The sequence below is a fragment of the Homo sapiens genome, chromosome 6 (genome assembly GCF_000001405.40).
Source record: "Homo sapiens chromosome 6, GRCh38.p14 Primary Assembly".
Taxonomy (NCBI): Eukaryota; Metazoa; Chordata; class Mammalia; order Primates; family Hominidae; genus Homo; species Homo sapiens.
In genome coordinates this window covers 81437452-81450031 of record NC_000006.12, presented here as the reverse complement: position 1 = coordinate 81450031, position 12580 = coordinate 81437452, and the positions used below count along the sequence as shown (strand labels likewise).

The 12580-nt window shown below is 36.1% G+C and overlaps 1 long non-coding RNA gene across 1 annotated transcript in view; it reads left to right on the top strand.

The window, feature by feature from the left end:
* The window catches only part of LOC105377871 (uncharacterized), a 105003-nt gene extending 100213 nt beyond the window's left edge, over positions 1–4790 (top strand). The window contains exon 5 of the long non-coding RNA XR_007059658.1: positions 3972–4790. This is a non-coding gene — a long non-coding RNA (uncharacterized LOC105377871). The remainder of the gene's footprint in view (positions 1–3971) is intronic.
* The last annotated feature ends 7790 nt before the right edge of the window (positions 4791–12580 follow it).

Here is a 12580-nt window from a genome sequence, read left to right as displayed (position 1 = left end):
TATTAATTGTAGCAGTTTAGGGCAGTAAGACATAGTACTGGACTGAATTAACGGTGATCGTCCCCAGAAAAAAGGCCAGAACAGAAAGAATATGGTAGATTCAGGACCAGGCAATGGTCACAATGACCAAGCAAGTGAGAACAACTGGGGGTCAACAAATTTGCAAAGAAAAGCTATGGGAATCTAAGAGTCTGTGATAGTCAGAGATCCTTGGGTACAGAAAGGCAGTTGGTACTATAAAAACCGTGATTCATGTAACAGGATCTAAATTGCTGAGCTGCACAAAGGGAAAAACACAACTCTATTCTAACTCTGTTCCAGTGGTTTGGAGCACTAGTCAGGTTATAGTAGGAAAGTAATCAAAAAAGTGACTCTGACCATGGAATAAGACAGGTTCATGTTACCATTGAGACCCAACTTGCAGGAGCCAGTTCAGAAGGCCAAAATTAAGATTCACAATTTACTTATTTTACAAATGGCAAGTGTTTATGCATTAATACCCAGAGTAACTTGATGCTGGTCCCAGTGTTTTGGACTTGAGTCCCCTAAATTTCTCCTGCTCAAATTAAGTATCATATTTCTAAGCTGAAAGTGAACATCTGAGCATGTGTTTTGACGGTCAATGTCTTTTGCTGCAGGAAAAGATACATATGTAGGCAGGAACGAAAAGAATGGTTACAAAAGATAGGATGAGTTTTTGAAATCTTATTTGCTATTTTGCAGCTATTTCTAACTTCTTAACTATAATTTTCTATTTTTGATTTGTTCCAGAAAGCATCACCTTCTCTTGTCAGGAACAGGGACTGACTGTTCCTCATATATGCCCTGTATTTTTCCACCTTAAAACTTTTGATTAAGTAGCTCTCTCCACCCAGAATGTCCTCCTCATTTTCATAAGTTCGAATTCTAGTTCTTTTCTGAGACTTAGCTTTTATCCTCCCATCTATAAATGTATTTCTGTTGCCAATTGTCACAACACTTTTCTATCAGTTTTCTCCTACTTTTACACACAATGCATTATTGAAAACATGTTAAAAAATCAATGGTACTAGAAGTCAAAAAACAGGATTAAATGTTTCATTCCCAATGTGCCAACTATATTATAAATTTTACTATTTATAATATAGTTTCATATTATAATAACTATATGGTTATTATAAGTATATTATAAATAAAATTTATAATATAGTTAATTAGTACATGATGATCTTGATAATATTTTCCAAGCATGTTATTCTCTTATTTAACAGTTGAGTATCTGGTTTATTGTCTTAATTTTCTAAGACAGTTTATTTTATAGATGTCTAAACTATAATTTAAAATTTTTGCACATGTGATAATGTATTTTCATAAATTTTATTGAATGTGAGACCAATACTTCTTTTATTTTTATTTATTTATTTATTTATTTTGAGACGGAGTCTCGCTCTGTCACCCAGGCTGGAGTGCAGTGGCGCGATCTCGGCTCACTGAAAGCTCTGCCTCTGGGGTTCACACCATTCTCCTGCCTCAGCCTCCTGAGTAGCTGGGACTACAGGTGCCCACCACCACACCCAACTAATTTTTTTGTATTTGTAGTAGAGACGGGATTTCACCATGTTAGCCAGGATGGTCTCAATCTCCTGACCTCGTGATCTTTCCGCTTCGGCCTCCCAAAGTGCTGGGATTACAGGCGTGAGCCACCATGCCTGGCCCAATGCTTCCTAATTTTAGTTTCTTTTTATATATTTTACCACTTGTATAAAACAGTAAGTCAAAATGCAGTTGAATATTTTATTAACTACACAAATAGACATTGCTATACAAACAGAGATGGAATACTGCTGAATTGGACCATTGACTAGCAGGTGTTAGCTAGAAAGACTAGTTCTTTACCCTTTGTCTGCAAGCTTGAATTCAGCCATTATAATATAGAAGTGACAATATATAACTTATGAAAGAGTAGATCACAAACAGTATGAACATAATAAGAATCAAGATCTTTCTCTTTGTGCTTTATAATACATTGTTTTGATATGACATTTAGGACTGATATTTAGGTGGTATTCCCTGGCACTCTATGACTGGTTGGTTCCCATGTACTGCTAATTATTTTGTATCACCCCCTCAATACCTGCATTATCTTCCTTGCTAGGTTGTGAATTCCTTGTATCTATCATAGCACCTAGCACAGTGACTTGTGGGAAAAAATCCCACTTGCACTGGTATAGCACTTAATTATTTTCCTAATACTTTTGGGAACATGATCTCCTTATATGTTAACAACAGCCCAGAGGTTGCAACAGGGGCCCAGGTGTGCCGAATGTCTACGGGGCGCAGGCAGAACACATGTCTTTGTAATTGAAAAATGAAAAAACAGAAGAATGGAGACAGGTGACATGCCAATATTTATAAACTAATAAGGTCAAACTAGGACATAAATTAAAAATTTTAAGTTCTTTGTACCAGCGGGTTTTAATAATGATTTACTGGATGCCTGTGTGAAACCTAAGTAGTCCTTGTTCCCTGTCCATAGTTAACAACTTTTCCCAAGGTATTTGGTACCCTGTCAGATTATGTCTCCCACAATGCTCAGGGCTGAGTCCATTCAGAAACATGAGGCACTGGCCTAGGGCCTTGCTACCAGTGTCTTCTTATTCATACCAAAAGGAAGCAGGAGGAATTATGTCACAAGTAAGGAAGTAGTTTGGAAACAATACAGGAAAATTGTAGTTTAGGTGTTAATACATACACATATATAAATTTCTAATGGGAACCATTTAAGGTTTTTCACTAAATAAAAAGGACTGCAACTATATTATTTTGGATTAAATGGTGGGAATTTAGCATTAAACAAAGTGAACTGAGCAGGTAAGAAATCTAACCCACTCCCTTTTTTTTGAAGGGGATTGGCATTAAAGCTTACTGTTGTAAAGAGCTCTAAGACTGTGTAACATTGCTCATATATAGATTTTTTTTTGTCATTGTGGCTTTTTATCTATGAAAGAGTTTAATCTCCTCTTTGAGGAAGAGAATAATCAGCTCTAACCTCATTGGGTAACTACTAAGTGATACTAACTGCCTTTTTGTGTATGTTGAGGAGGGCCCATGAAACCTGATGCTAACATGTAACTCTTAATAGGGGACAAAAGCTCTTGGAATATATTAAATTCCTCCTAATGAAAATCTGTACCTGAGAAAGCATGGATATTCTCTGATAAATTAATTTTCTCCAAAATCTGGAACTATTCCAAGATACATGTTTTTGAGCCAATATTTTAGTCAAAGAGTATTTACCCTGACTTATCCCAGTAAAGTAAATATTTCTCAATCTCCTGATCAAACATGTGTTGATATATTTTGCTTACAGTAATATGTAAGTGAAAGATAAATGAGTTATCTAACAGATACAAATGTTGGCCTTTAGTAATTTGGTGATGTCAGATGCAAATACTCTTTTCTCGATATTTCTTCTTCTTTAGTCAAAGACTTTAGACAAATAACAAGTTTTTATTTTGAACTACTATCAGTGAAGATAGAGTAGCACGCAATCCTAAAATGGGAACATTCTAGCATTTGAAAAGGAAATTCTGCAGTTAAGGAAGTTGAAAAATACTTATAAGAAACTATTTTAGAAGTTCAAAAGGCAAGATTTGGCTACTACAGACCCAGTGGGAATAAATCTGACTGAATATGTGAGGATACAAAGAACACATCCTTCTTAGGAAGAATTGAAATCCATTGTAAAGTTAGGTAACAATAATGACTTGTGAATTTCTGAGTTTGTTCTTCTCCTGGTAGAGAATACATTCCTCATATATCTGGCATAAGATAGCTTAATTTCCAGGCAAGAAGAATGCTTTCTTTTCCCCTTGGTAGTCTTCAGTGTGAGTTTCGCTTAACTGATGCTGAATAGAACACATCATAAAAGAATATTTGGTTTACAGGACTCTAATAGTTTTGTCTCTTATCTTTTCTCTCTTCTCTTGTAGGAGACAGGTTGTAAAGAATGGTTCTCAGTGCTGCTTTCATCATGAAAGACTGAAGAATCACTATTGGCTCATTTTATAGGAAAGAAATACTTTCACAGAAGAGCATGCCTATAGTAACTTTGGAAATATTCCACATCTTGGAAGAGCTGGCTTAGGATATAAAGAAACTTGAAAATAAAAAAAAATGGCCTAATCAGAAAATATTTAGTTTTTGCCATAAACTATATCAAACATGTAGACATAGTACACATGGACTTGCTTCTTTTGGTTTTCAGTGCCTGTAACTTATTAATAAAAGTCAGTGGAGAACATCTATCCTAAAATGTTTAAATATTTTTAGCTTGATTTAAGATGCATTTGGTTTGAAATAGGATATGTGGTATGTAATGGAAAACTGAAAGTGACATGAACAGAAATATTGATAATTAAGACATATCAGTTACAACATACTCATTGATCTCATTGATTTGAAAGTAATTTGCTCAGCATAATGTGTATTATCTTAACATTAATTTATGGCTTCTTGCTGATTGAGTGAAATTCAGCTTAAAATAAATCACCAGTGTCTACCCTGACAGCAATAGTAGGCAAAAAAAAGAGGACCGAAAACTGAGCAATTTTTCTTCCATATGTCTCTAGACTCTGTATCACTGTCGATTTAAAAAGTCAAATATTTGTGCTCTGTCTGGCTCAACTAAAGTTAAGTGTGGCATTGTACTGTTTGCTACCCAATAATCTGTGATTAATTTTCAGAATGACCCTTTCTATTTTTCTTCATATGTGATTTGCCAAGCCAATATTAAAACCACATTTGCTTAATCTTTCTCATGTTTGAGTATTCAAATACTCAGGAGTTCACTGGGGGAATCTGACAAATGATTTGAAGAAAAATGGACAAGTGTTCCTGGGGCAGGTTTTATGGGAAATGGGTGGAGGAAAGTGGTTGGGTGGGGATTTAGTTGCAATTTGTCCTAGATTCTTCTAGGTCTTTAGCCTTATCACATACTAGCAGGATATAATACCATTTTAGAGCTGGAATTATTCATTGTGTTGATTTTCTTGACACAACATCAGCAGAGTATTAGCTTTTGTGCTTTAATAATAAATTGTCAAATTTTCAGTGATATCAAGGACTATTTGGGAAGAATTATCTTATTTCTAGGAGCCAAAAAAAGGCAATACAGAAAATGTACAGAGAGGGATCACTCTACTATGAAACTTGGTTCAGCTTAATAATGGATTTAATCTTTTAGTCAGGAAATATATAATTTATGATCACTGCTATATAATAATTGCTTTCAAAATACTATAATTTCTTTAAATTTTGTTTTTTCTTTTGGAGATTAATTTTATTTATGTATTTTTTATTTTATTTATATATTTTATTGATTTTATTTTATTTTTAATTTATTAATTGTATTCATTTTTATTTATCTGCTTTTCCTATTTTTAAAGCCTGAAAATTTTATTATGATAAATATATTTTTATATAGAAAATCTAAAAAAATGCAGAAATCCATAAAGATAAAAATGAAAATGAATTAAAACTCCACAAATAGAGATTATTGTCTATTCTTACAGGTTTTTTGAAGAACATATACACATGTATTTGTCCACTCACTTATTAAATATTTATTGTTTGTCTATTATGAAGCAGATACTACCATGCTAGATATCTACTCTGTTAATTGAAAGTGTTTTTCCATTAACAAAGTTTGCAAGTTGGAAACACAGATGAACAAAAACTAAACAAACATATATTTAGTATTACTACTTGTGATACTAATATAAAAGAAACAAGCAATAAAGGTGCCATGATTGAGAATAACAGGGATGTGAGGCTAACTTAGCTAGTATGGTTGAGGAAGGTGCTACAGGGGAGGTAACAAAGATGAGACCTGGAAGCAAAGACAATAGCCATGGGCTTAGCAGGAAAAACATTTCAGTTGACAGAAACAACCTATGACCTGGTTATATAAAGAAATGTGAATGTTTGCCTTTGGTTCTGTTATGCCTAGTAATAGCTATTTGATTTCCTAGACCTAATCTTCTGAATGTGTTGCTGGTAACTTGCTAACTGGCTAGTCAGTAGATGACAGTGTTAATGGTGTTTTAATCATTTAATCCAATTCCAGTTTACGTGAAATATGTTAATGTGAAATATGCCTATTGTCACAAAAATTAACAACATAATGCAGAAAATATTGCCAAGATGGCATAAGATCAAATCACAAAGTTTAAGAAGGCGACATGTTCTGAAGTCACCATAGCTCTTTACTTCAGCTGTTTACTGTGAATGCTCACAATATAAAAAATACATTTTTCAATATATTAAAGCCAGTGTGTAGATATAACTGATTCTAAGGTACAAATGGCAATATCTTCTTATTCTTAAATTTGTACAGGACAATGTGTACTAAAGGAAAATAGGCTTTCTCAAAAGCTGAAAACCATATTTTTGTGAAGTAAATTGAGGTAGAGAGACTAGTCCAGCTGTTCCCTTATCTTTTATACATAAAGAGACATGGTATATCCAGTAGGTACCAGCATTCTGCATTCCCCTTTACAATTAACTCAGCAAAGAGCAAACACTTCATGTTTTATCCTAGAGAAATCTCATAATACTCTTTGTTTCATAAGAAACTGCACCTTAAAGATATAAGGCCTACAAGGAAGGAGAGGGAAGTAAGGCAACTTGTTGGACCAGGATCAGCTGAGAGCCTGGAAAGGATCCCTAATGTAAGAAGAGGGTAGTGATCTACATTCTCACTGCAGATTCCCATGATTTTAGCCAGGGGAGATCCCCCCAACCCTTGTAGGCCCTAAGACTATCATAGGCAGCTGCCTGAAGATAGTGCAATGGCATTGCTCCAGAGAGGGAGCTCAGGTTGAGTCCCACAAATCCCAGAGTCTTGAGCAGCTGCAGCGCAGCACCATTGTAAGAGCCCAGCTTTCATCAAACTGCCTCCTACCCTGGGTCCCAACCTGTCCTGAATCTCCACATCCCTGGATCCCCATGAACATTCTCCACCCACAGCTACTGCAACGGGGCTGAGGCAGGAGCCATTGGCAGTGACCCCACCCCGCTCAACAGAGGGACAGTCATGTATTTTTACATGCCCTGAGGAAAAAATTCAAGATTCTGTGGGGCTGAGGTGCAAGTGAAGTGCAGGCCCTATAGCTGCCTGCCCATGGCTGCTCCCACTTAAGAAAACCCTGCCCTCCCTAGTAGCACTAGCAGCAGGGCCACAGCACAGGCACTGCTGCTTCCACCAGAAGCCTGAGGATCACTTCACTCCTGCCTATCACAGCTAGTGCCTGACTGCAGGTACCACCTGGAATCCTGAAGGCAGGTCTACCTGGCCTGGCTCTGCACCCCCCAATAGCAGAACATGCTATCCAGGGCCCTGAGGATGGCCCAGCCAAGTCCACTACGATTGGCACCTGAGAACTCATCCCAAGATCTGAAATCAGATTCATGCAACCTGTGTGTATCCACAGCTGACACCCACACACACATGCCACCCACAGAATTGGGACTGGCCCACACAGCCTATCGCAGCCACTGACAACACCACAGCAGACTGCTTGGGCCTCAGAGGATTATCCTACCACTGCTACTGTTCCCGGACCAAACTGAGGGTCGGGCTGCTATTTCTTATGGCCCAATAATGAGATGCAGATGAACTGGGAAGGAAGACAGTTTTTATTTCTGTAACCAGTTACAGGGAAAAGGCCTGGAAATTATCACCAGACCAACTCAAAATTACAAAGTTCTCCAGAGCTCATATACCTTCTAAGTTATACATCTATGTGTAAGTGTGCATTTGTCTAAAGACATAAGTGATTAACTTCTTTTAATCTATAACTAAGGCCAGAGCCCTGAAGACCTTCTTCTGGATCCTCAGTAAGTTTACTTAATTTAAATGCATCCAGGTGCTGGGGTGATTACCCTTATCTTGACTCCTGCTAAATCATGGAGGTTTGGGGAGTTCCTTCAGATCTCCAATAAACTTGTTTGTGGGGGCCTGGGGAGTTTCTTCAGACCCCTAATAAAACTTGTTTAATCCTAAATGAGTCCTGTTAAGAACTCCTTTGTTATTTTGTCATGCTTTAAGGCCCAGGAAATGCCTAGGCACAACTTTCTATGGTCTTTTGTTACATTCCAGCCTTTATATAAAGACACTGGTTCAATCAGCTTTTAATGTTTAACCTAGCTACTTAGTAAGTGCTGGGACAGTTGTAATGGAGGCCTGAGTTAGTGAGACCTGGCCTGCCACACTACTGCTAGTGACCATGCCACACCTACTGCCCAGGGGCTCAAGAATTTACCTACCCACTGGCCCACCACTGCCATTCCTGATGTCTGAGCAAGCCACCTGGAGACCTAATAATTTTTCTGCCTAGACCCACCAACACTGGTACAAGTATACGCTGCCCTGGGGTATTGCGGGATCTGGCCAGCAGCCCGCAATGCAACGGGGCTCTCTCTTTGTTCTCAGGTGGATCATCAAGTCGAGAAATAATAGACACACACAAGATAGTGAAAACTGGGTCCAGGGAGGTCACTGCCTTCTGGTCCCATGGTGCCAACCATGCACTGGATATACCAGCATTTATTATTAAGTTTAGTGAGGGCGGGGGTAGGTTAGTGAGGGATTTAGGGTCATTTGATTATGAGGTGAGATGCTCACAAGGGGATGAAGTAATTCTTTAACATAACATCTGTATGCAGAAGTACAGTATACAGGGATAAGAATTTACAATATAGTGTGGGCATCAGTAATTTCTAACAGAGCCTTAAAATAGAAACACAGTCTTTCCATAACCTACAATTAGCAAGATATTAATCAGCAGTAACAGTTGCAGCAAAAGCTGGTTACAAACAATCCATAGAAACAAGACATGAAGCTAGACAACCGGTTAGACCAGAAATTCTCAGAAGGGAGTATGCCTTAACCCTAAAGAGGTCTAGAAGAGCCGTGACAAGATGAGGACGTTTATAGCCCTATCTTATCCATATGGACAGGCGCCCCCCATGTGTCCGTTTATAGGCTCTCCACAAAGGTTGCATTCCACTCCCAGAGCTATAAATATCTGCTTTTCTGGGATAGGAATCTTGGTGATGTGAAACTTCCCTGACTGCACATCCATTCATAGGCTCTCTGCAGGGGGAAGCACATCACGTGCTGTTGGCTCATTCTGGCAGTCCAACCTGGCATTATCTTTAAACAATCCGGTATGCAACTTTATATTTACAATAATCAGGAGCATTTCATCTTTTATTCTGTAGCAATAGTTTCAGGGCGTCTGCCTACACTGGGGCTTAAGGAAATGCTCACTCAGCCGACCACTACCACCAATGAGACCCAAAGAATAGCATACCTGATGTCACAATCCTCAGCAAAGTTTGACCATAGCCTTCACTAACAATCATGTTAAACCACCAAGGAAATCAAAGACACCAATGATACTATTTACAACTGAAGAAATCATACAGACTATACTACTGCATGTACTCAGAATAAAAGCCAAAGTGCCCTACTCAACCAACACCTTAGATACATCTTCATGAAAATGTTTTCCCTATGAAAGCAAATTCAACAAATTAGAAGAAGCAACTGTTAAACCCAGATAAGGAGATATTAATGTAAGGGCAAAGGAAAGATGAAAAAGAAAGGAAATATGACACTTAACAAAAAAATACAATAATCTTCAGCCACAGAGCCCAGTTAAAAAGAAATGTTTGAAATCCAGAAAAAAAAAATTACTGATATTTAAGAAGCTCAGTGAGATAGAAGAGAATACTAATAATATAATAAATTAGAAAAACAATTCACGATAAAAATAAGAAACTACCAAAGAGAAAGACATCATAAAGAGAAGCTAACAGAAATTCTGGAACTGAAGTATTCATTGAATAAAATACAAAATACATTCAAAAGATTCAACAATAGACTACATCAAGCAGACAAAAGAATATCAGAACTTGACAACAGGACTTTTGAAATAACTAAATCAGATGAACATAAAGATTAAAAAAGAGTGAGCAAAACCTAGATGACATACAGGAAACCAGAAAGTTATCAAATATTCACATTTGCAGTGTCCCAGAAGGCAATGAGAAATGAAAGAGTTAGAAATTCTATTTAACAAAATAATAGATAAAAACTTCCTGAATCTAGCAAGAGAGTTAGACATCCAGATACAGGAGGCTCATAGATTCCCAAATAAATGCAATATAAAAAGGTCTTCTGCATGGCACATTATAGTAAAACTATCAAAAGTCACAAACAGGGAAAAAAATTCTAAAAACAGCAAGAGAAAAGCATCTAGTCACTTATAAGGGAACCCCTATCAGACTAACAGTGGATTTCTAGGCAGAACCTTACAGACCAAGAGAGAATGGAATTATATTTTCAAAATGCTGAAAGAAAAAAAAAAACTGTCAGCCAAGAATACTATACCCAGAAACGTTATCCTTCATAAATGAAAGATAAATAAAGTCTTTTTCCGATAAGCAGCAGCTGAGGGAATTCATTATCACTGAACCAGTCCTAAAAATATGTGCCAATCCTATACCTGAAAGTGAAAGGACAGTGTCTATCATCATTAAAACACACAAAAATAAAAACCACTGGTAGAATGAACACATAAAGAAAGATAAAAGACTCAAAGATTACCACTACAGGAAACAACCAACTCACAATGGAAAACAAAAAGAAAGAAAGGAACAAATAATATACAAAACAACCAGAAGCTAACTAATAAAATGACAGAAATAAACCCTCACACATCAATAATTACCTTGAATATAAATTGATTAAATTTTCCATGTAAAGAATATAGATTGACAGAAAGGATTAAAAAATGACCCAATTATACACTGTGTATGAATAAGAAGCTCATCTTATCCGTAAAGACACAAACTGAAAGTAAAGGGATGGAAACAGATATTCCATGTAAATGGAACAAGAAAAAAGCAGGAGTAGCTATATTTATATCAGATAAAAGAGACTTTTAAATCAAAAACAGCAAAAGAGACAAAAACGTTTATGTATAATGATATATAATGATAAAGTGATCACTTCAGCAAGAGGATATAACAGTTCTAAATATACCTGACACCAGAGCATCTAGATATATAAATAAAATATTATTAATGTGACAGGAGAGATACACTTCAATACAATCATAGCTGTGGACTTTAACACTGTCAGCATTAGACAGATCAGTTGGATACAAAATTAATAAAGAAACATTGAATTTATTCAATGCAATCCTTATCAGTATCTCAGTGTCATTTTTCACAGAAGAAAAAATAATTCTAAAATTCATATGGAACCTCAAATAAGTCCAGATAATGAAGTAATCCTAAGCAAATAGAACAGAGCTGGAGGCATAACATTATCTGATTTCAAATTATAATACAAGGCTGGAGCAGGCAAAACAGCATGGTACAAGTATAAAAATAGACACCTAGACAAATGGAACAGAATAGAGAATCCAGAAATAAAGTGACATATCTGCTTCCAACTAATCTTTAACAAAAATGACAAAAACATACATTGGGAAAATGGTATACCTTTCAATATATAGTGCTGGGAAAATTGGAATGCCATATGCAGAAGAATGAAAGAGAACCCCTATCTGTCACTATAAACATAAATCGATTCAAGATAGATAAAAGACTTAAATGTAAGATCTGAAATTACAAACATACTAGAAGAAAATCTAGGGAAGACTCTTCTGGACATTGGCCTAAGCAAAGAATTCATAATTAAGACTTCAAAAGCACATGCAAAAAACCCCAAAATATACAAACTAAAAATAGAGTTACTTAAACTAAAAATCTTCTGCATGGCAAAAGAAATAATCAATAGAGTGAACAGACAAACTGCAGAATGGAAGAGATTATATTCGAACTATAAAGCTGACAAGAAACTAATATCCAGAATTTATGAGGAACTCAAACAACTCAACCACAAAAAAACAGCAAATAACCCCCAACAAATAATAAAAGGAAGTCAAATAATATGAATAAAACTTTCTAAAGAGAAGACATGCAAATCATCAGTGAACATATGAAAAAACACTCAACATCACTAATCATCAGAGAAATGCAAATTAAGACCATAAAGAGATACCATCTTATACCAGTCAGAATGACTATTATTAAAAAGTTAAAATTAACATATGCTGGCAAGGATGCAGAGAAAAGGGAATACTTACACACTAGGGGAATGTGACTTTGTACAACAGTATGGAAACAGTATGGAGATTTCTCAAAGGACTACAGACAGAACTACCATTCAACCCAGCAATCCTATTATTGAGTATCTACCCAAAGGAAAACAAATCATTATATCAAAAATATATCTTCACTTGTATGTTTATCACAGCACTATTTACAATAGAAAAGATAGGGAATCACTTACAATAGAAAAGATAAGTGTTGATTAATGGGTGGTTGGCTAAAGAAAATATGGTATATATACACAATGGGATAATATTCAGCCATAATAAAGGGAAAATGTCTTTTGCAGCAACATGTATATAACTGGAAGCCATTACCTTAAGTGAAAGAACTCAAAACAAAAAGTCAAATA